This window comes from Homo sapiens, chromosome 10 (assembly GCF_000001405.40).
Source record: "Homo sapiens chromosome 10, GRCh38.p14 Primary Assembly".
Lineage (NCBI taxonomy): Eukaryota > Metazoa > Chordata > Mammalia > Primates > Hominidae > Homo > Homo sapiens.
Window position 1 is genome coordinate 98,439,071 of NC_000010.11, and position 26,041 is coordinate 98,465,111.

Below are 26,041 nucleotides of genomic sequence, written 5' to 3' on the forward strand. Positions count from 1 at the left end.
TTTGGGAACCTCCACCTAGATTTCAGAGGATGTATGGAAATGGCAGGATGTCCAGGCAGAAATTTGCTACAGGGGCAGAGCCCTCATGGAGAACCTCTGCTAGAGTGATTAAGGGAATGTGGGGTCAGACACCTCCACACAGAGTCCCCACTGGGGCATTGCCTAGTGGAGCTGTAAGAATAGGGCCATCATCCTCTAGCCCCCAGAATGGTAGATCCACCGACAGCTTGCACCATGCACCTGGAAAAGCCGCAGACACTCAACACCAGCCTGTGAAAACAGCTGGGAAGAGGACTGTGCCCTGCAGAAGCACAGGGGTAGGGCTGCCCAAGGCCTTGGGAGCCCACCTCTTGTATCAGTGTGACCTGGACGTGGATAGAGTCAAAGGAGATCATTTCAAAGCTTTAAGATTTGACTGCCCCACTGGATTTTGGACTTGCATGGGTCCTGTAGCCCCATAGTTCCAATTTCTCCCATTTGGAATGGGAACATTTACCCAATGCCTATACCCCCATTGTGTCTTGGAAGTAACTTGTTTTTTATTTTACAGGGTCATAGGTGGAAGGGACTTGCCTTGTCTCAGGTGAGACTTCAGTCTTGGACTTTTTGGTTAATGCTGGAATGAATTATGACTTTGGGGAACTGTTGGGAAGGCATGATTGGTTTTGAAATGTAAAAGGGACATGAGATTTGGGAGGGTCCTGGGGCAGAATGATATGATTAGGCTTTGTGTCCCCATCCAAATCTCATCTTGAATTGTAATCCCCATAATCCCCACAATCCTCATATGTCAACGGAGAAACCAGGTGGAGGTAATTGAATCATGGGAGCAGTTTCCCCCATGCTGTTCTTGTGACAGTGAGTTCTCATGAGATCTAATGGTTTTATAAGAGGCTCTTTCCCCTTCACTCAGCACTTCTCCTTCCTGCTGCCTTGTGAAGAAGGTGTCTTGCTTCCCCTTTGCCTTTTGACATGATTGTAAGTTTCCTGAGGCCTCCACAGCCTTCTGAACTGTGAGTCAATTAAACTTCTTTCCTTTACAGAGTACCCAGTCTTGGGCATTTCTTTATAGTGGTAAGAAAATGGACTAATACAGGGGAGATAAAAATATTTGGTGTATATAAAGGAGCATACTCATATATTACTTGGCGGAATTATAAAGTAGTACAATATCTTTGAATGGCTTTTGACTCAACATTTTTATTTTTAGGAATTTATCCTAAATTTATCCTAGGAATTTATCTGACATGAGATAAAATTTAAGCACAAATGTTTCTTAAAGCAAGAGTGATATAGCAAATTAGGAGCAATATTTATGTCCATATGAGGAAAATGGTTAAATAAAGGATGATACACTGATTCATGTACTGGAGTACAATGTTTCCATTAAGAATTATGCTTCTGAGACTATTTAAAAAAATAGAAGAAATATCTTGATATAATGGCAAGTGGAAAAAAAAACAGGCAGTAAAACTGTAAATGTGGTATAATCCCAATTATATAGAAAAAATAAAGACCCAAAGAAAGTATATTAAAAAGCTAATAGCTCTGGGTCATGGAATTATAGGTCATTTAAAAACTATCTCTTTGTATTTCCAAATTTCCTACAATTAACTCATTATTTATATGATGAGAAAAGAATGTGTTGCACATTAACAAAAAAAAAAAACTTTAAAGACCACCTTTCCTTTACACTACTCATTTTTAGGAACTGAAAATTCAGGAGTTCGTTCCTTTGCCAGGTTTTCAATAAAGAGGAAGAGAAAGGCCACCAAATAGTTTGCTTCTTAAGTTGACATAGTTGTAACAGTAGTTTAAAAACTGAAATATTTAAAAATTCTTAATTTAAATATTATATGTATTGACTGTTAAAAAATAAAAAAGCCTAACAGTTAGCTTAAATAAAACCACTTGAATGTCTATGATCTCTGATATCTTGTGTTTGCCTAAAGACTGTGATGAGAACACGAGTGATGTTGATGGTAAATGGACTCCCTGAGGTGGAGTCAGCTCACTCATTGGCTGGATGATGAGACCCCTTAGAGCAGAAAGGGACAGAGAGGCAATCAGCCCATGCTGCAGAAATGTAAGAACACCTTCCACTGCATCCCCAGTAAAAATATTTTTAACCCAAAATTAATCTGGAAAACATTTTCAAAATAAATTACTCCTTTAAAATGTAGAGTGGAAATTATGTAAGTGAAAATGACAAGTATTTCTGAGTTGTAATGTTAAACTGTTGAACTGGATGTCCACATGCAAAAAAAAAATTATCTTCAATCCATAGCTCATACCACACACAAAAATTCAAAGTAGATCATCAGACCTGATATAAAACCTAAAACTATAAAACTTTCAAAAGAATATGTAGAGAAAACTCTTTGTAAGTTGGGCAAAGATTTCTTAGATATAACACTAAAAGCATAATCCATAAATGCAAAATGGATAAACTCGAGTTCTAATACTTCTGCTCTTTGAAAGATACCATTGAGAATACAAACACAAGCCACAAACTGAAAGAAAATATTTGTAAAACATGTATCTGATAAAGGATTCCATCCAAAATATATTAGAAGCTCTCAAAACTCAGTAAGAATAAGAAGAAGAAACAATCAACTCAAATAAAAACTGGGCAAAAGATATGGCAAATAAGCACATGAAAAGATGCTCAAAAGCATTAGTCATTAAGGAAATGAAATTTAAAACACAGTGAGATTCTAGTGAACATCTATTAGAATGGCTAAAATTAAAAAGACGGACTATAGTGTTGGTGAGGATATGGAGGAACTGAACTCTCAAACACTACAGGTGGAATCAAAAATTACACAACCACTTTGGAAAAGTTTGGCAGTTTATTAAAAAGTTACACATACACCTACATGACCTAGCCAGTCTATCCTAAGTATCTGTCCTTGGACATGAAAGCATCCATGTATACATAGACTTGTACGTGCATGTTCATAGTTGCTTTATTTGTAATAGTCAAAAACTGAAAATAACACAGATGTCCATCAACAAGTAAATGAATGAACAAATGGTGGCATCCTGATACAATAGATTACTACTCAATGACAAGGAATGAACGATTGATACATGCCACAACACAGATGAATCACAAAATAATTATGCTGAGTGAAAGCAGTCAAACCAAAACCAAACTAAATCCAAGCACATACTGTATGACTCCATTTATATAAGGCCATATGATACAAACTAATCTATCATGACAGAAAGCAGATCAGCAGTTCCTATGCGATGGGGATGGGAAAGAAGGGATTACAAATGTTTGAGGTGGTAGATATATTCCTTTTATTGATTGTGATAGAATCATAGGTATATACATATCAAAGCTTATCAAATTATGCACTTTAAATATGTGCAATTTATGGTATGTTAATCATACCTTAATACAGCTATTAAAAAATTAACGTGTTCAGCTTACGTTAAACTTTTTTTTTTTTTTTTTGCTCTGTCGCCCAGGTTGGAATGCATGGGCACAGTCTCGGCTCACTGCAGCCTCTACCACCTGGACTCAAGTGATCCTCCCACCTCAACCTCCCAAGTAGCTGGGACTATAGGCACGCACCACCACACCTGGCTAATTTTTGTATTTTTTTTGTAGAGACAGGGTTTCGCCATGCTGCCCAGGCTGGTCTCAAATCCCTGAGCTCAAGCAACTGGCCCACCTTGGCTTCCCAAAGTGTTGTGATTACAGGCGTGAGCCACCGCGCCCAGCCTTGTTAAACTTTTTAGGTTACAGAAACTGATGGCTCCAAGTTCTTCTGTTACGTGATAAAATTCGACTTCTTCTTGCCCTCATTTAGTCCAGAGAGGACTGGTGGGGTGTGGGGGTGGGGTCACCGAGCTCAGAGCATCAAGAGGCCAACCTTGAGGATAAGGGTCTAGGTGTGAAGGATGCTGGACCCCACCCAGCACCCTGCTCATGCTGCCCAGGACAGGGTGAACACAGGTTTTCCTGCCTCTCTGCCTGCTGGGAGTTTTGTATGGTTCCTTCCTATCCACCCCTCCTGGGACTGCCTACCCTGCACTCACCTCTTCTTCCTCATTCTCTGACTGCCCGAACTTCAGCCGGAGACTCTCTTCAAACTCCTGATCTGTCCAGTAGAAGAGGACCTCTGCGCCCTCAGTGGCCACCAAGACGCACTTCATCTGCCAGGGAAAGGCAAGGTCAAGGTCAGCCTCCAGCCCCAACATCTATGAGCTCAGTCTGAGTAACGAAGAGGACCCCAACCTCAGCAAACATTCAGTGAGCCCCTTCTGCACACCAGGCATCACAAGGGACTTCCATTTTTGTTGCACCCTCACAACTGGACAAAGTAGAACTCTTCAGGTACCCCCATTTTAGAGAGCAGGACACAGGCACAGCCTGAAGTGGCAAAGCTGGGATCTGGACCCAGACCTGTTTGATGCCAAGGCTGGGGCCCTTTCCTCTGTGGTATCTGGTCCCTCTCAGCACAGCAACAGACCCACCACGGGGCCTACTGGAACCAGACTGGCACAGGAAGGGACCCAGGTCTTGGCCTAGACATGGAGCCGAATGCCCAGGGAGGCCATGCTCACGGCAGCCAGTTAGTGCCTGGTGTGGATCGGAGGGCACTGGTGCACCTCCATCTCTGGGCAGTCCAGAGATATCTCTCCCTCAGATAAAAACAGTTCCAGGGCTGGGCGCGGTGGCTCACGCCTGTAATCCCAGCACTTTGGGAGGCCAAGGGGGGTGGATCACCTGAAGTCAGGAGTTCGAGACCAGCCTGGCCAACATGGTGAAACCCCGTCTCTACTAAAAATACAAAAATTAGCCAGGCATGGTGGCAAGTGCCTGTTATCCCAGCTACTCGGGATAACTGCTGAGGCAGGAGAATTGCTTGAACCCGGGAGGCAGAGGTTGCAGTGAGCCGAGATTACACCACTGCACTCCAGCCTGGGTGACAGAGCGAGACTCTGTCTGAAAAAACAAACAAACAAACAAACAAACAAACAAAAAACAGCTCCAGAAGATGAGCCTCAAAGCCCCTGAATTTACTTCAGCACCACAGAAGTTTCATTCAAATGCTGCTCTCCCTGTTCATGGTGAGAACAGAGGCTGCCTAAAGCCCCTGTACCTAGTAGGCTGCAGCTTCTAGGGCCACAGCCACCAGTGTCTTCAGCCCTCCCAAATCTCCTTCCCCACCCCCCCGCCACACACACACACACCACACACTCTGTGCTTGATTATGTAAGAAATGTCTTAACTATTCACCCACTGGAAGATCTTTAATACAGCTTCCCACACTGTGTGCCATGGCCCTCTGCGTGCGGCAAACCCTCGATCTTCTAAAACTTGGGGCAGCCTGACCAGGCTGGTGAGGACAGTGCTCCAGGCTGGCTGCTGCAGCTAAGAGGCCTCAGGCAGTGGTTTCAAATCCTCTTATGTGCCTCAGGGTGTCACGCAGATATAATCATGTGGTATGTGCGCTAAGCCATGACAATGATTAGGAAGCTCTGCTGTAACTCTCACACAAGTGGATTTCCAGTTTTCTTGGGAGGATCACAGCATCTCCAGGTCTTGTGTTCCGTCATCCCCATGTCCAGCTTAGTGGTCCTTACTGAATTCCTCCCAAACTAACTTGGTGCAACTGGTCCCAAGGTATTTATGGCAAATGCCAGGAGACATAACAGCACAGTGAAGAAGGAATGCAGCCTATTCCCACAGAATTACTCAATGCCAAGGCAGACACTGAGAGTGCAACAGGTGTGAAAAGGAGGTTGCTGGGAGAGGCGGGTGGACCTGAAGAGGCTGCTCTGGGACTCCCAGGTACATGTGACAAAGCTGACCAGAGTGTATGGGTTAGGGAGCAGTGGGCTATGGAATGGAGGCTGTGGTTGTGAGCGGAGAAGTGACCGGCTGGCTGGAGATGGGCAGGTCAAGGTCATGAAGGCGGTCATCTAGGTGCGGGTGTCAGGTAATGAGTGCTCACCCCTTGGTGGGGGCTGGGAGGAGCTTTAAAGATGCAGCAGGCTGTGATGACCTGCCTGGATTCGAGGGGTGAAGGAGAGATGAGGCATCAGGATGGGGGTGGCCTCAGGATGCAGGGCTGGGGAGGGGATGAGCAGGTGTGCAGAGCCCAGTAGCACTCAGTCCACTGCCTACCTCATTCCATCTGCCTCCCAAAGCCCCAGGGTGGATGCTGCCTGCCTCCCTGTCCTCCCCAGGTGGGGCAAGATCATCTACCTTGGCAAGCACAGTGGAGCATCCAGACGGCCAGAGGTTCAGAAAGGGCTGCAGCAGACCGACTCGGTGACTGGCTCATGGGAGAGCAGCACAGCATCCCTGGTCCTGCAAATGCTTAAAACAGAGAGAATATGAGGGCAGGCAGATGCCCTGGTCTTGACTGCTGCCCGTTGAGAAAGGACAAGCTGGAGAAGGGCTGCGTGGTCCCTGGTCTCTCCAGGCCCTGAGGCAGTCTGCTAAGAACATATCTGGGATCCTGCCCCTCACCTCCCATAATGGAGAATAGGAACCCGGCCAGCACAGCCCTTTGCACAGAGCAGGTGCCCACTTTTGTTCCTTCCTCCTTTGTTCCCATGAAGTGCTCTCACTTCTGCGGGTCACTCAGAGCTCCCCAAGCAGCCCCAGGGAGCTTGCTAGGAGTGACTGACGGGAGACAGCATAGCACATCCCAGGTGGTGAGGATGCAGTCCCGGTGAAGGGAGTGGGGATCCTGGGATGATACGATGAATGGAAGGAAACTAACAGGAAAGGCATCTGGGACCAGGTTCTAGTTTTGGCTTTGCCAAGTCCCATAAACCTCTCTGAGCCTCAAACTCCTGCGGAGAAACAGAGCAACATCCCCTACTCTACCTCCCTACAGGGTTAGATCATGGGAGTGACCAGGCAAGCTGCAAAGTAACCTTAGCAAACTGCGTTCTTACATAGGTGTGGGGATCATTATTCCTATTTCCCAGCTTCCCTTCTTCAAATAACAGGATTAATCAATCTGGTTCCGGAATCATTCATATTTGAATAGAGGGCAGGAACAACAGAAAACTTAATTAGGAAGTCAAGCACTGTGAGCCAGTAAGAGGCAAGTGACTACCCGCCACAGAGACTGCTGTTACGAGTTCGGCCTTTAGCAGCCGAACCCTGAGACGGGCTCCATCACCCACATGATTGGCCCGAATGCCATATTCCCGAAACAGGGGGATGCTTCCCAAAGGCTGCTGGGAAGAGAACCTCGCCGGTGTCACACTGAGACTTCCGCTTCACCTCGCTATCTTGCCCTAGAAAGGGAACTCGGAGGGGACTCACTGACGAAAGGAGCTCCAGATGGCGGGGGGCCAACCTGGGGCGACCCCCAGCGCCCACTTTCACCATCTGGACCCCAGCAAACCTCCCTGTGGCCCTTGGTCCCGTCTTCAGCAGCTCCTTCTGGGGTCCCACACCTTCGGAGCCCGGCCCTGCCCCTGAGTCTCTGGAGAGAGCGAGTCAGCAGTTCGCCGCCGCGGGGCTCCCGTTTGCCTAGCACGCCAGTTTCTGTCCAGTTTCACCCCAAATCCCCACCTCCCCCCACCCCCGAACCTCACGGCCACCCTGGGAAGGAGGCTTGACTTGTGACATCCACCCCTCTTCACGGCTGAGGAACTTTGGCCCCGAGCGAGGAAGCGACCGGCCCACGGCCACACGCCCGGAGTGGGTGAGGCTAGGAGTGGGCCCGCTCCGGGACCCCTAGGGACCCTACCTCACTTCCGGGAGGGTTGAAGGGGGGCTCCGGAGGGAGGATCGCCGCCCCCAGAGGGGACAGCCCGGAGGCCCACGTACCGGATCGCGGCGCGCACAGCGCCCCGCCTGCAGGAGCCCGGGCGCGCTTCCGGGTAGGACCGCGTGATCGCGCACGTGACCGCCCGCCCCGGGAGGGGCCGGAGCCGCCGTCGCCTTCCGCGGGTTCGAGCCCCGCCCCTGCCAGGCCTTGCCCATGCCCCATTTTACAGAAGAGGAAACGGAGGCGCAGAGAGAAGAAATAACTTGCTGAGGGTCCGAACCAGGCTCAGAACCCAGGTTTCCTGGCTCCTCAGCTGATCCCTTCTCTCCTCCCCATGCCCCGGAACCTCAGGCTTTGCCTAATGAACTGAAGTTCTGGGGCTAGAGCTGTCCTTTTGTGACTGCTCTCCCTGACCTTTGGGGAGGTGACATAGCGCACAGAAGGGCTCAGTTGCCCCCAGAGTGCCAACGCTGGAATTTATAGGAGTTCTCAATCTATTTTGGGAGTGGAGTGCACATTAGGAGTTTTGTGTTGAACCTATGTTTGCAATATTTATTTTAAAAAATCGTATGTGTATTGGGGGTGCCTGGAAGTGGAGGGGGCGCTCTGGAAGGGCCTAAATCCCCGAACAGTCCACCCCTCAGTGCCTGGGTGCCACCTGGGAGCTTTGAGCCCAGCCCAGCAAGGTATGGGTTGCAAGAACTGGCTGGGGATATAGTAGATTGAGCATCTCTTGGGGGAAAGGCAGAGGCTAAGAATCAATACTTCCACCACCTGCAGATCAAAGAGAGCATCACTCCCCCCAACCCACTACCCACCCCTTCCAGCCCACCTTAGGGCAAATTCTTCCAACTCCCCATCTACAGCACATAGCCCTGCCACACGCATCTCTTTGCTCAGCCCACCGTTGAGATCGTTCACTCACTATGCTTTCAGTGGTCGAATGAATTCCATCAAATGGATATGCTGTTATTTACTTATTCATTCCCCTACTGGTAATTTCCATTTCCCAACTGCAATGTATGAGGATTCTGATTTCTCCACATCCTCACCAATGCTTGTTATTGTTGATTTTTTTTTTTTTAAGTATAGTAACCCAGCGTGGAGTGGTGTCTTGTGATTTTATTTGCACTTCCCTGACGTTCGGCATCTTTTCATGTGCTTTTTGCCTATTTGTGTACCTTCTCTGGAGAAATGTCTATTCAAATCCTTTATCCATTTTTAAATTGTCTTTATTATTGAGTTGTAAGAGTTCTTTATATGCTCTGGTTACAAGCCCCTTATCAGATACTTGATTTGCAAAAGTTTTTTTCCCATTATGTGGCTTGTCTTTTCACTTTCTTAGTGGTATCATTTGTAGCACCAAAGTTTTACATTTTTATGTAATCCAATATAATCTATTTTTTAGTTATGTACGGGTTTTTTGTGTCAACATGTTTCTTTTTTTCAAATTTGTTTGTGGTAAAATACATATAATGTAAAATTGATCATTAAGCATTTTAAGTGTATTGTTCAGTGGTATTAACTACATTCCTAATGCTATGCAGCCATCACCACCATCCATCTCCACAGCTCTTTTCATCTTTTAAAACTGAAACTATATCCATTAAGCAATAATGCTGGCCGGGTGTGGTGGCTCACACCTGTAATCCCAACACTTTGGGAGGTCAAGGCGGGCGGATCACAAAGTCAGGAGTTTGAGGTCACCCTAGCCAACATGGTGAAACCCTGTCTCTACTAAAAATACAAAATTAGCAGGGTGTGGTGGCACACAGCTGTAGTCCCAGTGACTCAGGAGGCTGAGTCAGGAGAATTGCTGGTACCAAGGAGGCAGAGGTTGCAGTGAGCCAAGATCATGCCACTGCACTCCAGCCTGGGCAACGGAGCGAGACTCCCATCTCAAAAACAACAACAAAAACAACAACAACAACAATTCTTCATTCCTCCTCATAGCAACCACAATGTTACTTTCTGTCTCTATGAATTTGACTACTCTAAGTACCTCATATAAGTAGAATCATACAGTATTTGTCTTTTTATGACTGGCTTATTTCACTTAGCATAATATTCTCAAGGTGCATTCATGTTGTAGCATATGTGAGAATTCCTTCCTTTTTTCTTTATTTTTAAGCCTAAATAATACTCTATAGTCTGTATATACTACATTTTGCTTATCCATTTATCTGCTGATGGACAATTGGGTTACATCCATTGTGAATAAGGCCATTATGAACATGAGTGTACAAATATCTCTTTGAGACTCTGCTTTCAATTCTTTTGGGCATATACCCAGAAGAGAAACTGCTAGATCATATGGTAATTCTATTTTTAATTTTTTAAGGAACTACCATACTGTTTTCCACAGCAGCTGCATCATTTTACATTCCCAACCTGGAACAAGTGTTCCAGTTTACCCACATCTTTGTCAACACTTGCTATTTTCTATTTTCTTTAAAATTTTTATAGTAGCCATCCTAATGGGTGTGAGGTAGTTCAACATAAGTTTATATTTCTCTTAGGTAAATATCTACTCATGGGATTGCTGGGCTGTATGGTAAGTCTGTGTTTAAATTTATATTAAACTGCTGAACCATTTTCCAAAGTGGATGTACCATTTTACATTCCTTCTAGCAACACTGAGAGGTGTAATTGCTCTGTAGTCTTGTTAGCACTTGATATTGTCCTATTTTAACTTTAGCCATTCTAGTAGGTATGTGGTAGTATGTTAAGTGTTCAAATTTTGCCTATTTAAAAATTGGATTGTTTGTCTTATTATTTATTTATGTGTTTGAATTCAAGCCCTTTATTATATTTTTTTTTCCCAGTCTGTGGCTTTGTCTTTTCATTTTCTTTACAGTGACTTTTGAAGAGCAGAAATCTTTGTGCATTTTGTGTCCTATGTAAAGTCTCTGCTTAGCCAGGGTCACAGAGATTTTCTCCTGTTTTTTCTTTTTTGCAGAAATTTAATAGTCGTAGATTTTGTCTTTAGGTTCACAATCCATTTTGAGTTAATTTTTGTGTGTGATGTGAAAGAAGGTTGAGGTTTTAGTCTTTTGTGTGTGTGTGTGTGTGTGTGTGTGTGTGTGTTTTGTATATAGATGTCCAATTTTTCTAGAACCATTTGTTGAAAAAAAATATTTTCTCAGCCAGGCGTGGTGGCTCATGCCTGTAATCCCAGCACTTTGGGAGGCTCAGGAGGGCAGATCATCTGAGGTCAGGAATTGGAGACTAGCCTGGCCAACATGGTGAAACCCCATTTCTAGTAAAAATACAAAAAAATAAATTAGCTGGGCGTGGTGGCATGCACCTGTAATCCCAGCTACTCAGGAGGCTGAGGCAGGAGAATCGCTTGAACCCAGGAGGCAGAGGTTGCAGTGAGCCAAGATCGTGCCATTGCACTCCGGCTTGGGCAACAGGAGTGAAACTCCATCTCAAATAAATAAATCAATCAATCTTTTCTCCATTGGATTAATTATCATGGCACGTTGTCTCAAATCAGTTGACCATCTGTGTGTGAATCTATTTTTGGAGTCTATGTTCAATAAATTTAAAAGGAGTTTATTGATTTTCTTAGAGGCAGTTTTTGGTTGAATCAATTTTTATTGATCCTGTTTTTAAATTCATCAGTTTCTGTTCTGATAGTTACTATTTCGTGTCTTCTGTTTACTTTGGGTTTTTTTTTCTTCTAGAAACAGAGGCCACTGATTTGAGACCTTTTGTCTTTTCTAATGGAGTTGAGTGCTGTAGATCTTCCCCAAGGTCCTGCTTTATCAGCATCCCACAACTTTTTATCTGCCATGTTTTCATTTTCAATTACTTTAAAATGCTAATTTTTCTTTTGATTTATTTAGAGTATAGTTCAGAGGTCAGCCAGATATTTGAGTGTACTTTGTACCAGCTTTTTAAGTTTCTCCCACCTGTTCCCTTTCCCTCTCCATTCAATTTTCAGCTGCTCTGGCAGTCTTGAACACCAATGTCACTCCACGGTCTAATATAATAGCTGCTTGCTGATGGACCTTGCTCTTTGTTGTGAACTAGGGGAATTCCTTCAGGAGAAAAGCCAAATAAATGTGGATATCACCCAGTGTGATTTTCTTCATTCAAGAGCTATATCTCCTGCAGTTTCTGCCTGCTCTTAGCTGTTCTGCATTGCCTTCAAAGAATTGTTTTTTCAAATTTTGTCTAAGGTTCGTAATTGTTATTGGCAAAAGGGTCAGTCTGATACAACTGTAACATTACCAGAAATTGGAAGTTCTTTCTGCATATTTTTATATGTAGTCTTTTCCATTTAGTTTAAAATATTTTCTTTTTATTGTGATTTCTGATTTTTTTCTCATGGAATATTAAGAAGTGTGTTTCTTAATTTTCAAGCACAGGGAGATTTTCTAGTTTTCTATCTCTCTATCTATCTATCTATCTATCTATCTATCTATCTATCTATCATCTATCTATAATTTCCACTTATATTCCACTGCTGTCAGAAATACATTGTATGTTATTATTCTTTGAAGTTTTTTGAAACTTTATGTCACAGTATATAACCACGTTTTATAAATATTTCGATGTGTTGTTGAAAAAGGACTTTATTCATTTGTTGTTGTAATGTTCTCCATATATCATTTAGATAAAATGTTAATTGTATTGTTTAAATCTTTTCTATTCTTTCTGATTTTTGTCTGCCTTTTCTCTCATTTTCTGAGAGAAATAGCAGTTAAAAATCTATTATAATTGCAAATTTTTCTATTTCTCCTTTTATTTCTGTTAGATTTTTGCTTCACATATAGGAGATGTCATTAGGTACATGCAGATTTATAATTATATATCTTACTGTTAAATCAAAACTTTCATCTTTATGAAATGTCCCTATCACTAGCAATGCTTTTTGGTTTTACAAAAGCATTTATTGTCTCATATAAACATAAGGACATCACCTTTTGTTGCATGGCATATCTTTTTCTTACTCCTTTTAATTTCTTATATTTTAGATATTTCTTTTGAAATAGCTTTTAATTGAACTTTCTTTTATCTTATCTGACAACCTTCATCTTTTAATCGGAGCATTTATTCCATTTACATTTAGTGCCATTACAAATAAATTTGGTTTTAAATCTATTATCTTGCTAGTTGCTTTCTGTTTGTCCTGTTCTTCATTATCTTTGTCTTCTTTCTTGCTTTCTGTTAGATGAAGCGTTTTTGTTATGATTCCACTGCCTCTCCATTCACTTAAAGAATATACTCTTTTAAGTATTCTTTCAGTGGTTACCATAGAGACTAAAACATGCATCCTTGACTTATCAAAGTTTAATGTAAATTAGTAGTTTTACCTCTTTCTTGAAAATGTAAGGATGTTAATATATCTTCCATTTACCAGCTTTCAATATGTATGGTATTATTGTAATGCATTTTTAATTATTTACCTATTTTAAATTGCAAGAGACATTGTTATTATTAGATTATATTTATTTAGAGTTTCCCACATAATTACCCTTCACGTTGCTTTTTATTCTTTCCTGCATCTCTCATTGCATTATTTTGATTGTTCATTCTTTCTCTCCCTGTCTGTCTTCATCTTTCCTTTCACTGTCTCCTCCAATTTTCTCAGCCTCCCACCACCCATGCACTTGTAGACATAGTTGAGTTCCAAGACATTAGGTGCATACGTGGTGAAATTCTACTATAATACATTTCAGTTGCTGCTGGAGCAACCCCACGTACTTGTCTTAAAGTTCAATTTAACTAATTTCTCCTATGTGAGGTCAATCTTTTCCTTTTAAAAACCTAACAAGGTGGGTATGCCTTGGGGCATGCTTAGTCTGCATTAAATATGCACTAAATCACGGCTTGGAAGAAACTGGGGTGGCAAGAGTCAAGTAATTAACTCAAAAATAAAATCAGGACACTATCCCTGAGGGTGAGAGGATCTTCAAAACGTGTTATCTGTGTTGAATTTCATGTGCATGCATTCTAGAAGGCACGTTGCATTTAGGTAGAAATAGCAACAATTTAAAGCTAACTTTGAAACTTCTCAAAAGGATGTTATCTAATATATAAGCTAACATGAGGAGGAAATAGAAAAACAATAGCACTTGGACCAGAGACCATCTGACATAACATCAGACAACAGGGAGTTTCAGGTAAACTTAGATTTCACTTAAATCCAAAGTCCTCATTTTATAGATGAGAACACTGAGGTCCAGAGAGGCTGAGTGACTTGTCTTCTGAGGTGGATAAAATCAGTGGAATAGCCTGTTGTGATCTCCAGGTGTGACTGTTCATTGGGTCTAGAGTTGGCCTCTATGATTCTCTAGTTACCTTTTAACCCACTTTGCTATTTGAGGTTTCAAATTATATTTTTGATGTTTCTGGTACAGGGGGCAGCATCTTCTACTATGTGCATCTACATTGGATGGCAGTGGAGCAACACAGATTGTTTTCTGACAAAAATCAGCCAAGTACTAGGAGAGGCAGGACTTTAGAAGTGGAGGAGATGGAGAAGGAAGCTTAGGTTACTATGGAGTGTGCAAAAAGGTCCTGTGGATTTAGATACCACCACACACAAATGGTATGTAATACTCACTTGAAGACAAATCAGCCAGAGGGATCTAACAGCATTGACCCATTCTCTGGTCTTCTAGCATCCATCATAGTTTTGTGCTCCTTTTCCATGAAACACAGCTGTTGTTGGAAGGTACCTGCCCAGATAAGGACTGCATTTCCTCTAGCATCCAGATGGGACCAAATGACTGCTGGCCAATAGAAGTGAGTGGAAAGGACTGACTCCAGTTCCAGGTTGGGCCTCCAACTGCTCTGGGCACGTCGATGGAACAGAACACCACCTCCACCCCAATACCACCAATTCAACTTTACATGAATTATAAGCGAGAAATAACTTGGACTGTGTTAAGTCATTGAGTTTCTGGGGTTTAACTGTTATTATAGTTAAGAATGACTTTAACTAATATAGTCAATGACATCTAACTGGAGTTATGAAATTCAATTTCTACTTAGAGTAATTGAAGCAAAGGTTGTGGGGGAGGGGAGGAGGGCAGCACACCATGAAATCAGAGATCCCCAGTACGTGTTAGTTCATCAGTCAATCAGTCTTAAGGTCAGGGTGTAGTGTGGGCAGCAGTTGCCTCCCTCTCCCCACAGAACACCCTGAGAATAGGAAGTTAGAGTAGTCGCATCTTATTACTTACAAAACATTACCTCAAAATGCAAACTACCCCCTGGACCCAAACTCTCTACAATCACCAGGTTCCATAAACTATAATCTACTCTGTTTTCTGGAAGAAAATATTAACCTGTTAAAATTCCCTGCACAGAGAGGAAACTTTTTCTGGGAGGTATTCCTGAACTCATTTTGCCAACTTCCAGATGAACAAAACTAAAGTTTCTTTTTGCTTCTTCCAAAAACATAAATTATCAAATAACATTTATAACTTGAAAAAGAATCCTAGAATATTTTCATGAATAATAATTAGAAGAGTAATGTTCACATGGGAAGGGCGTCTTTTCTCTGCTGTGTGCATAGGACCCTGGGACCCTGGGATTTAAGTCATATGGAACTTGGTCAACTCCTCCAAAATGCTCCCAGCGCTCACAGGGGCTGCCTTGGTGTTTGGAAGGAGGTGGTGCCAAAGCAGTTGGTTTGCTGGATTTTGACTTTCTTTTTTTAAAGTGGTATTTGCAAATACTACCCCGAGGGCAATGGTTAATGGATTTGACCTTTGGGTCATGGGGGCCAGGGAGCAGCACTCATAGAAGCTGTGTGTGTGTGTGTTGCGGGGCGGGGGCGGGCTGCTGACTGGCTCTGCCACTCACCTCTCAGGCCTTAGGAATACTGAAGATTCTCACCTACGATTGGTGGCGATGGTGGGAGTGGTCCTTAAAACTGCTTTATAGAAAATCATAGTGGAGGCCAGGCGCCGTGGCTCATGCCTGTAATCCCAGCACTTCGGGAGGCCGAGATGGGCGGACCACGAGGTCAGGAGATCAAGACCATCCTGGCTAACACGGTGAAACCCCGTCTCTACTAAAAATACAAAAAAATTAGCCGGGTGTGGTGGCTGACGCCTGTAGTCCCAGCTACTCTGAAGGCTGAGGCAGGAGAATGGCGTGAACCCAGGAGGCGGAGCTTGCAGTGAGCCGAGATCGTGCCACTGCACTCCAACCTGGGCGACAGAAGGAGACTCCGTCTCAAAAAAAAAAAAAAAAGAAAGAAAAAGAAAAAAGAAAATCATAGCGGAACAGACCAGGATGACCACTGATCGGCCAAGGTGAACCTGGACTCAAAGTTCTACAGCAAAGGCTGTCCACAACACTACTTACTACTCACTACTCACAAGAGCTTCTAGTTGGCATCCTCAAACCAGAGAGCAGTTGTACTGGGGGTAAGGCACTGCTAGGGTTCTCTGTAGGACACACATGAGATGTTAAGGAATCTAGCTGTGGGCAATACAGAGATGAGAAATAGGTGGCTACAATCAGTCAGGTGAGAGGTAGCACAGTGTAGGGATAGCAGGCTTTGAAATTTTTAACAGACCTGGGTTCAACTCCTAGTTTTGCCACACTGTTTTTCTGGGTGGTCTTGAACAAGTTCTTTCTCTAATCCTCCCCATCTATAATTGGGTCTGAACACTTACCATACCACCCAGCACTGCTGTGAGCATTCAATAAAATAGCACGTCTGATAAGAAGAAGGCACTTGATCAAGGAAGGGCAGCCACAGAAGCCTTCGTGCCATGGTTAGTGGAACTCAGAGAGAAGGGTTCTGTATGTCCCAGTTGTTTGGGCCTTATAATAATAATAAAATTCATTTTAGCACTATCTCTCTTTGGAGTACTTCTTATCTGCTTTTCAATCCTGGTATATCCTAAGAAAAGATTACAAACAATTCTAAAATGGAAACTTCACTTCAATACAGCAGATTTCCCTGGGCTCCTGGCTGGGCACAGAGTGGCTGGCAGAGGGGAGTCTGTGGACGTGGAGAGTAAGTTGGTGGAAACGAGCACTCAGCAGGGGCCAGGCTGGGGCAGTTGTGCCGATGCTGGAGAGAGGAGAAGTGGAGGAAGCCATGCTAGGTAAAGTTTATGCCCTTTCTTCTCTTGCCTTTTCCAAGCCACAGCACTATTAATTTTGGTTGCTCTATTGATATTTCAAAATGTTAGTCTTCCCTTCCCCTTGTGTTTTTATCGTCAGAGGGATCCACCTGGTTCACCTTTGCTTCTGCAGAGACTCAACACTGCCCTTTTGTTTTCAAACATAAAGCTACTCTCAATGGATTTCCAAGGTGAATCCTGCAGCTGCATCCATCCCAGACACTGGGGCCTTGAGTGCCTGTGGAGCACACCTGCAGATGCTGGGCCTCGCCATGACCACCAGAGGCTAAGTGGTTAGCACACGAGTCCTCACTGCCAGGGGGCCACAGAGACTCCCAGTGCTGACAGCAGGTGGGAGCCTCTTCAGGCAGCATCCACCAGCAACCTCTGCCCTGCTGGAGAGTGCAAGGCTTTGAGCCCACCTGCCTAGGGACCGCCCGCCTGCTGGGGAAGGGTCAGGCTGCAGAGGGCCACTAGGCTTTTGGGAATTGAGCTTCTGGGAGCCCCAGGCCTTAGTCTCACTGTAGCCCAGTTCTGGTATTTTCAAACTTTTCTCCAGCAGAGATAATGCTAATAATCCCACAGCTGCAGCATTGTTCAGGGCACTAGAAGAATTGGGACTTTCTCTCCAAATAACAATGAGTATTTCTTCTGAGCCTTTGTGATAAGAAATGAGAAAGAAGATCATTCCTAGAGGCAGAAGCAGAAAACCAGCTCAACAATAGGCAGAAACTTTTCATTATACATTATTAGTCTTTCAAATGAGCATTTCTGCCAGCCCATTCTAGGTTTAAAATAAAGTGGCTTTTAAGTCTCAGATTATTATGGCCACATCTTGTTTTAGGAAGGAAATATCTGATCTGGGGCAGCTGCCCGACCAGCTCTTCTGTGCTTTTGTCCCTGCTCCCAGCTGGCAACCTGCTCCCTTGAAGTGCATTGTGATGCTGCATTTTGCCACAGGCTGTCTTTTTGCGGGTGAGTGTGATAGGGGAATCCCTATGACAAGCAACCCCCACCCCTCCAAGGGAAAAAGCCAAGGTGTTTCTATGGAATGTGATTTTATAGTGAGTTTTTCTGGTATCCTTTGAACAATGCGCATATTTCTTCTGTGAAACAGTTACAAAGTTAGAACTGCAGGACTCCAGAGATAAATTTCAGTAATTCCCTCTTCCTTTTATTAACTAAAAAATAAACAAAACTTAAATCTCGTGAGAGCAGCATTTAATACACAGAGAAAGATAAAAGAAGCAGGAATTACCCATATTCTGCAAGGTTTAGTAAAAAAAAATCAACACTTATTTACAGAAAGTGTGTTTGAGTGGAGTTCTGGCTGTTCTGAATGAGCAGAACCTACAAAGATGTGAAGGAGGTGTCTGGACCTGTGGAGCCGCTGAGCCTTGTGGCTGAGTGGGCAGGCTCTGGATTATTTCGCGCTCGGCAACCCATTTCCCCGGGTGCCCCTGGGCGAGCCATGGATCCTCTCCATGCCTCGTAGGAAAAATGGGGATAACAGTAGTACCCCTTTATCATGGGGTTACTAAGGACGCAAAGCAAACCATAGGTCCCCAGGGCCAGGCTCTTAGGGACCTTTGGTTACTCTTGTTATATCAGGGGGCCCTGCAGTCGCACCTGTACCAGTATGTAGAAGAGACGTTGATATCTGCACACATTTTTAACAGTTGGGGGAACGACCTTTTAGTCTCATTTCTCTTTTCCTCTCTTTTCCTCACTTTGGCCTGTCAATCTGTTTCTTCTTTCTCTTATTTCCTACCCCCCGCCCCGCCCCCATCTTGGTACTTCACTTTCCTGCCCTCTCAGAGCTGAAGCCTCAGTGGGAGGTGCCTGGTCCCAGAGAAACGGGTCCCTTCTGGGCAGCCTTGCAGGGCGGTCTCAGGGTCTGCCCCTCTCTCTCCAGTTGCTTCCATGCTGAGCACAGCCACTGACCTGGTGCAGCCTGGTCCTCGGGCTCTCCCTTTCTTGCTCGCTGTAGTACATCTGCTGTATGCTGTTCCTCCTGTGCTTAATGATAAGCATGTCAAAACCCGGTCCCCTCGCTTCCTGGAATTAGGTAGTCAGCTTCCCTCTCCCAAATCCACCGTTCTCCAAGCTCAGAATTCTCTCCCTCCTCTTTGGTCTAATCTCCCTTCCATCTCTCACTTTGCAGACTTGGCCCAAATCCTTAACTCCGTGTGCGTCTTAGGCAGCCTCCCTAGTCTCTGCCCTAGGCAACCCTGCCTTGCCCCCGCCCCATTCCTGTCCTTTCACAAACAGCAGAAATTGTATCACCGTCTCACTTGGAACAGTGTCAAATCTCTCCTCCTTCTAACAAAAGCATCATTCCTGTCATTTATCCTGAGAAAGAAAATCACATCCACAGAAAAGAAAGTCATTTCAGCTGTAGCTCATTGGCAAAGACCCTCATGCCCCTTGAATCATATAGAACGTCCTCATCCCCCACTTCACACCTGCCCAACTCAGAAGCTTCCTACCTACCATTCCATAGTTTTGGCCAGATCTTCATTCTCTAGATTCCCTATTCTCTCCCAAAATGGCTAACAAAGTTTTGTTCTAGCTCAAATAGGCTACTTGGGAAGAGGCAAAAAGGTTAGATTCAGTTGTGTCTTCCAGTGATGACCTTGATTCACACTTTTTTCTTCTTTTTTAAAAATAATGATTTGAGTTAACCAAACAATTAAGGGCTTACCCTATAGAGCCCCTAATATTCTCTTAATTTTGGAGAGGTCTAATTTGCTTTGTCCAGTTGGGGTGTGTGTGTGTACCTGATGTTTCAGTATGCTTTCTCTTTGTACTCAAACTCTCCCTCATAGCAACATGAAGAATGATGACTACTTTTTGTTGTGCCTAATAAACTGCTCTCCACTCAATGAATATTGTTACTTGACTCCCATTACAACTCTGGGGGAATCTGGATTCACAGAGGAATAGAACCTTCTTACCAAATCTGGAGTGTGATTGTAATTTTACTTTTGAAGCACCCGCTTCCCAGAAGAACTGCCAGTGATGGATGCCACTGTCAGGAACCCAGATGCGCACGCTCATACATCAGCCGGGAAATCATACAAACAGCTCTCCCAGCAGGCCAGGGCTGACACACCCATTACTCCCCTATGGAAAGAGATGTGTCAAAAAACTCAGGGCAGCAGCAAGAAAGAGGCAGAGAAGAAGGAGTTGGGAGAGGATGGGTTTTTGTAGGTCCACCCAGTTTTTTTCCTTCCTCATCTTCCTCTGAGGGCAGCAGCAGCAGCAGGCTAAGGTTTGGATTTGTGGTTATAATGCTGTGTGACAGGATCATGGGGAGTTGTCTGGAAACATTTCTCCTGGGAGTGTGCTGTCAGCTCGTTTTCATAGTGCACATGAAGGGAAACATTCTGCTCTATACACATGCCTTTATCCTTATATAGGTACAGGTGATGTCTACATTTTCCTTTGGGATGGATGTGGCCTACCTAGGCTAAGATCACGCTATGACATTTAGTCTCTTTGGAGAGCAAGTCTGTGTTGATTCCAGCAGGATGGGGCAGCAGGGGCTGGTTGCTAGGATGTCTGAAAACAGAGGATACTACTGGAGTGGAGGAGTGGAAGCAGCCCAGCAGGCCCACTGGTAGCCGTGAGTGTGAGGATAGCTTATCGGTAGCGGCAGGCCAAAGCATTGACATTCTTGACCACATAAAAGCCCATGGTGACTGGAGGGATGACCAATGTCCGGCCGGCCCGAAGGGGGCGGGGCTTCAATTCTGGGAGGGTCCCGTCGTCCACCATCACTAAGGGCTGGCCATTCAGTTGCACTGACCTACAGTGAGGAAAAACAGTATGGGACTCATTATTGCATTATAAGGGAGCCACTGCAACAAAGCCTAGCCCCAGATGGCCTGGCAGTGTCTGATACACACACACAGCTGACACTTATTGTTACTGGCTATGCCCTAGATTCTGACCTAGGTGCTTTACTTTAATAACTCATTCAAACATCCCAACAACCCCCCCACTCCCCTGAGGTAAGTAACTATTAATATCATTATCCCCATTTTATCTAGAGTGGCTAGGTGACTTGTCCCAAGTCACACAGCTTGGAGGTCCAGGGTTTGAACCCAGGTAGTCTACCTCCATAGACACATTTAGACAAGTGAAAAGTCTGTGATGCAGAAGCTGGAATGTTTCATTCCTATTTTTTAAAAATCACAATATCAGCTCAGTTTGACTTTTCCACCTAAAGAGTTTTTACCTGTGGAATGATACATGGGCTTAAGATGACTTCAGAAATCTATTTAACTCATATCTCATTAATTTACTTGACAGATTAGATAACTGACATTACCTTGCTTGTCTAAGGTTATACGGAAGGGAGACAGAGACATAGGTAACACCTCTACTTTTTCTAATTTAAGAATGAGTTTTGGCTGGGTGCAGTGGCTCATGCCTATAATCTCAGCATTTTGGGAGGCTGAAGAGGGAGGATCGCTTGAGTCCAGGAGTTTGAGACTAGCCTGAGCAACATAGCGAGACCCCATTTCTACAAACAATATAAAAGCAAAATTAGCCTGGCATGGTGGCTACTCAGGAGTTTGAAGTGGGAAGATCACTTGAGCCTGGGAGGTTGAGGCTGCAGTGAGCCAAGATTACACCACTATACTCCATCCTGGGTGACAGAGAAACTCTGTCCCTAAAAAAAACAAAAAATGAGTTTTCATATTTAATATTAACAGATGTTTCCATTTAGCAAAACAGCAAAGTAAGTGATAAAGTAGGCATTTGTGATCACAATTCATCTATCTTGCTTTTATCCTTTCTGTATAGCCAGCCACTTTCACCCTGAGAAGGGGGACTACATACATAGCAAACTTAGAAAAGAGAAACAGCTCATCTTATGCTGGATAGAGGGAAATGCCACCTATCCTTGACCTATGGTACCAGAATCCAGATAATGTTCCAGCTGTTCCTGACAGCCATGCACCCAGGTGGAAGCTTAGTTTTATGGGTCAGCAGAAAAGGCCAGAAACAGGCCACCAGCTGGAAATAAGGTTGTGAGTCACCCTCAGAAAATCAACATTGCATAGTGATGACTGTTTCTGGGCCTTGCCCAACCTCCAGTGTGATAACATTGCCGTGACATCATCTGAGCTGTAAAGAGAATAGAATGTTATAAATTGATATAGAGGTCTTTGTTTAGTGTTCCTTCTGTGCTATGAATGATAGACTGCTTTAGAGAGAGATAATCAGACCCATGCCCAATAGAGCAGTGAATTCCCAGAGATAAGTGTGTTGTAAATTGCTCCCAATGGAGAGCTAGGCAGAGAAGAGATCCAGGCCTGGCCCCACATGGGTAAGTTTGGGCTAGGTCCAGATCTGATAGGCCAGAGGGAGCAGGCCCCCTCCCTTTGCTAGAATGACTGAGTGAATAAGTGAGTAGGAGGCTTCTATATGGAGAGCGAGGCCTGCCTCTGGAAGGCATGGGGTGGGAGAATTGAGATCTGAAGGTCAGTGTTGACCGCATCAGATATGCAAGGAGCTTTTGCTTCCAAATATGAGAAGTGACCCTCTGTAGTGAAGACAGCCTACTCATTGGAGTGGAAGGCAGGGTGAGGAGAGTGGTTCAGTTACAAAAGAAGCCCAGATGGGTCTTCACAGTGTATTTTCATTATTTTGTTTCAGGTGCTATGAATATCTATCACCCAGATATAAGCACAGTCAAACACGAGTTCAATAATACCGATTAATCTTTCTAAGGCATACTCAAATTTATATCAGGTCTCTGCTAGAAAACCTTCAATGGTTTCTCCCATATACAGAATTAGGTGCAAACCTTTCTTCTGAAGAATTAGGTAATGCCCTTTTAGATTCAGATGATCCCACAGTATTGACATCTTTGGGTTCTGGGGAGTGCAAAACAACGTGTGATTAGCAAACCTTTAAAAATCTATACTAATAAGGAGTAGTTGTCCTGGAACAGGCCCTATTCTGGTTTCTTTATTGGTTGGTTAAAAAGCTAAGAGTAGAACCAGGAAGCATGGTGAAGATTCTCTACTGAAATCTCGAATTCCAGGAGCCAAGTTGCTAACTAGCTAGATGGCTTTGGCAAATCCCCTAACCTCACTGCCCTGTAGCTTTTGCATCTGTAAGAACGTTATATAGGCACCAAAGAAATGAAATAAGAAATATGAAAGTGCTTTGAAAGCATAATGAACCATATACTTAAGATATGGTGTTTTTGTTGTTGTTGTTCTTTTTATTTTTATTTATTTATTTTTTTGAGATGGAGTCTCGATCTGTTGCCCAGGCTGCAGTGCAGTGGTGCATTCTTGGCTCACTGCAACCTCTGCCTCCTGGGTTCAAATGATTCTCCTGCCTCATCCTCCCGAGTAGCTGGGACTACAGGCATGTGCCACCACACCTGGCTAATTTTCGTATTTTTAGTAGAGACGGGGTTTCACCATGTTGGCCAGGCTGGTCTCGAACTCCTGACCTCAAGCGATCCACCTGCCTTGGCCTCCCAAAATGCTGGGATTACAGGCATGAGCCACCGTGTCTGACCTGTTGTTGCTATTGTTTTTAATGTCACTGTGGACAGATGCACTTGTTGGTCCTTATCATACCTGACTGCTCTGTGGTACTCACATTTTCAGGTCTCCATTCTCAAAACCCTCTCTCCCCTTGGCTCCCATGATATTTCTCTCTGTTTTCCTCCATTTCTGGATGGCGTTTTGTTTTCGTTTTTGTTTTTGTTTTTTTGAGAGGGAGCCATTCCCCTCTGCCTGCTTCTCAGATGCTAGGGTTCCTAGTGTTTTGTCCCTGGACTCTTCTGTCCCCACACTCTGCACTCCTCCCAGGTTGCTGCTGCTCTCACCCTTGACTTCGGTCACTATCCACAAGCTGATGCTCCCTAAGCTTGTATCTCTACCCTACCTACATTCTTTCTATGAACTTCTGTATCTCCACTTGGCTGTCCACAGGAATTTCAAAGTCACTAGGTCCAAATTCAAAATCTTCTCCTCAAACTCTGTCCTTATCTCTGCTTTTTTTTTTTTTTTATCTTTGTGATGGTACCGCCATTTATCCAATTACTGTACCCAGAAAGCTTGGAGTCTTCTGAGACTTCTCCCCCAATTCCCTTGTGTAGGGTAGCCAAGTCAAAATAATTCGACCTTATAGTGTTTTTCAAATCTGCTCCTTTTCCTCCATCCACTGCTATCTTTTTAGTTCAGAACTTGCCTCCTAACCTATCTCTGTGCCACATTGCTGACAGTTATCTGTTGTCACTGCACCGCTTCAAACTTGCCAACACTCCCCTTCCCTTACACTTTATTGTGAACAATGACACCCAGCTCCAGCTACCTCTCCAGTCTCAGATCCCGCCAGTCCCCCCTCCAACGCTCACTGTGGATCGCAGACCTCTGGGAGTGGGCATTGGTAGGGGGTTGCCAGTTATTGTAAGAATTTCATTAATATATGCATACACAAAGATGACGAATGAAAAAATAATGTCTTTCACAGAGATGAGGTAAATATTTCTCAATGAAAATGTAAGTAGATATTGTTGGGATTGAAATACACAAGTTAATTCAAAAGTATAGTAGGCTGGGTGTGGTGGCTCATGCCTGTAATCCCAGCACTTTGGGAGGCTGAGGCAGGAGGATCACTTGAGTCCAGGAATTTGAGACCAGCCTGGGCAACATAGTGAGACCCCCATCTCTACAAAAAAATAAACAAAATTAGATGGGTGTGGTGGCACATGCCTGTAGTCCCAACTACTTGGGAGGCTGAGGTGGGAGGATTGCTTGAGCCCAGGACATTGAGACTGCAGTAAGCTGAGACTGTGCCACTACACACCAGTCTGGGTGACACAGTGAGACCCTGTCTCCAAAATAACAAAAAGGTAGAAAACATTTTTCAGGCCGAGTGCGGTGGTTCACGCCTGTAATCCCAGCACTTTGGGAGGCCAAGGTGGGTGGATCACGAGGTCAGGAGTTTGAGACCAGCCAGACCAACATGGTGAAACCCTGTCTCTACTAAAAATACAAAAATTAGCCAGGTGTGGTGGCGCACACCTGTAATCCCAGCTACTCAGGAGGCTGATGCAGAAGAATTGCTTGAATCCGGGATGCAGAGGTTGCAGTGAGCCAGACTGCACCACTGCACTCCAGCCTGGGCAACAGTGCGAGACTCTGTCTCAAAAAAACACAAAAAAAGAAAGAAAATATTTTTCAAAAGTAAATGCTAGTCAGCAGTTTTGGGATTAAAACATAAGTTCATTTAAAACTGTTCTTCAATTCCCAATAGATTTTTTTTGGGGGAGGGAGGTATCATGTACTTTTTAAGGAATAGATTTTGAAAGGACAATTACTATAATGTGGAAGACCGTGACATTTGTTGACATTTAAAAGGAACCCACATGCTTGAAGAGGCCAAGCCCCCGTGCCCTAGCATGACCAAATAAAATGACTTGCAGTTTTGCTTCCGAGTCATATCATTCTGTGCGGTGCTCCCTCCAGCTGTCTTCCTCTGCCAGACTAACTGCAATGGATCCTTGCAGCGTCTGTGTAGGTGTTGCCTCCTCTGGAGAACCTTCTCTGACCCCTAGGTTGGGTTTGGAGCCCCACTTCTGGACTCTCTTAGCACCCAAAGTTATTTCTAACTGTGGCCCTTATTGTAGTGAGTTACTTGTTTGATCCCTCACTGGGCTATGAATCCTCAATGCCTAAAGAGGTGCTTGGCACAGAGTAGGGGCTAAATATTTTCTGAGCAAGTGAATGGGCTTTTGAGGCTCTTTTGCATTATTTCTGATCTTCCTGGATTGAGTTTCTCCAGCTCTAAAGAGGCTCCCTGGAGGTTTGCTGAGTGTGTTTACAGATTTCATTAATGCGCCAATTACTATTGCTCTTGTTGGCTTGTGGAGATGTTAGATAAGATCTGAATTATCACTGATTCTCTCAGCCACTCACTAGATACCTCATTCCAACCTGACATAAGACCATTGATCATTGCTAGTGTTTTCCATCCTTAAAAAAGATCTATGCGACCATCTCTTAGCTAAGTGAGCATAAGTTAATTTTGTGAATAAGGTTTTGTGAGACCTTGAGTCCTCATACATCCTTATCCACAAAGTCCCTTCATTATAAAGATGGGCCATGTGCTTTATCACTTCCATTCTATTCTTCCTGCCTATAT

At 44.1% G+C, this 26,041-nt stretch overlaps 2 protein-coding genes and 1 long non-coding RNA gene across 45 annotated transcripts in view, besides 4 other annotated features; 1 reads left to right on the plus strand and 2 right to left on the minus strand.

Annotated features, from left to right (window-relative positions):
* HPS1 (HPS1 biogenesis of lysosomal organelles complex 3 subunit 1) overlaps nt 1-7,865 on the minus strand; it is a 32,988-nt gene extending 25,123 nt beyond the window's left edge. For 13 of the 29 annotated variants that reach the window (XR_007061961.1, XR_001747098.2, NM_001322484.2 and 10 more), the window contains exons 1-3: nt 7,737-7,865; nt 6,230-6,343; nt 4,054-4,170 (exon numbers count right to left, since the gene is read on the minus strand). Coding sequence is in view for 21 of the 29 variants with exons in the window: in NM_001322482.2 (NP_001309411.1) it covers nt 4,054-4,170 (117 nt within the window). In the remaining 8 variants the exon portion in view is untranslated. Of the gene's footprint in view, nt 1-4,053; nt 4,171-6,229; nt 6,344-7,576; nt 7,706-7,736 lie in introns of those variants that run through there. The other 16 variants (NM_001322483.2, NM_001322480.2, NM_001322478.2 and 13 more) reach the window with 5 other exon arrangements.
* HPS1-AS1 (HPS1 antisense RNA 1) lies at nt 7,251-14,735 on the plus strand. Of its 4 annotated transcripts, none has more exons than NR_134451.1 (4): nt 7,251-7,691; nt 10,277-10,311; nt 14,129-14,319; nt 14,433-14,735. It is a non-coding gene; the product is annotated as an HPS1 antisense RNA 1 (long non-coding RNA). The 4 variants fall into 4 exon arrangements; NR_134452.1 differs by having other exon boundaries at nt 7,251-7,687; NR_134453.1 differs by lacking the exon at nt 10,277-10,311.
* Nucleotides 7,683-8,032: a silencer, noted in NCBI's record as "silent region_2688". NCBI's record gives its function as "represses an Ori minimal core promoter by ATAC-STARR-seq in GM12878 lymphoblastoid cells {active_cell/tissue: GM12878}" and the evidence as "EXISTENCE:reporter gene assay evidence [ECO:0000049][PMID:35858748]".
* Nucleotides 14,278-14,779: an enhancer, noted in NCBI's record as "NANOG hESC enhancer chr10:100213105-100213606 (GRCh37/hg19 assembly coordinates)". NCBI's record gives its function as "activates a minimal SCP1, AML or CMV promoter by ChIP-STARR-seq in primed H9 embryonic stem cells {active_cell/tissue: H9 hESC(primed)}" and the evidence as "EXISTENCE:reporter gene assay evidence [ECO:0000049][PMID:30033119]".
* Nucleotides 16,670-17,209: an enhancer, noted in NCBI's record as "H3K4me1 hESC enhancer chr10:100215497-100216036 (GRCh37/hg19 assembly coordinates)". NCBI's record gives its function as "activates a minimal SCP1, AML or CMV promoter by ChIP-STARR-seq in naive H9 embryonic stem cells {active_cell/tissue: H9 hESC(naive)}" and the evidence as "EXISTENCE:reporter gene assay evidence [ECO:0000049][PMID:30033119]".
* Nucleotides 17,768-18,371: an enhancer, noted in NCBI's record as "H3K4me1 hESC enhancer chr10:100216595-100217198 (GRCh37/hg19 assembly coordinates)". NCBI's record gives its function as "activates a minimal SCP1, AML or CMV promoter by ChIP-STARR-seq in naive H9 embryonic stem cells {active_cell/tissue: H9 hESC(naive)}" and the evidence as "EXISTENCE:reporter gene assay evidence [ECO:0000049][PMID:30033119]".
* Nucleotides 18,007-26,041, minus strand: part of HPSE2 (heparanase 2 (inactive)) — an 858,875-nt gene continuing 850,840 nt past the window's right edge. For 11 of the 12 annotated variants that reach the window (XM_047425614.1, NM_001166245.1, XM_011540030.2 and 8 more), the window contains one exon: nt 18,007-20,669. In XM_047425614.1, the coding sequence (XP_047281570.1) occupies nt 20,504-20,669 (166 nt within the window). In that variant the 3' untranslated portion in view covers nt 18,007-20,503. Of the gene's footprint in view, nt 20,670-22,679; nt 22,750-26,041 lie in introns of all 12 variants that reach the window. The other variant, NM_001166246.1, reaches the window with a different exon arrangement.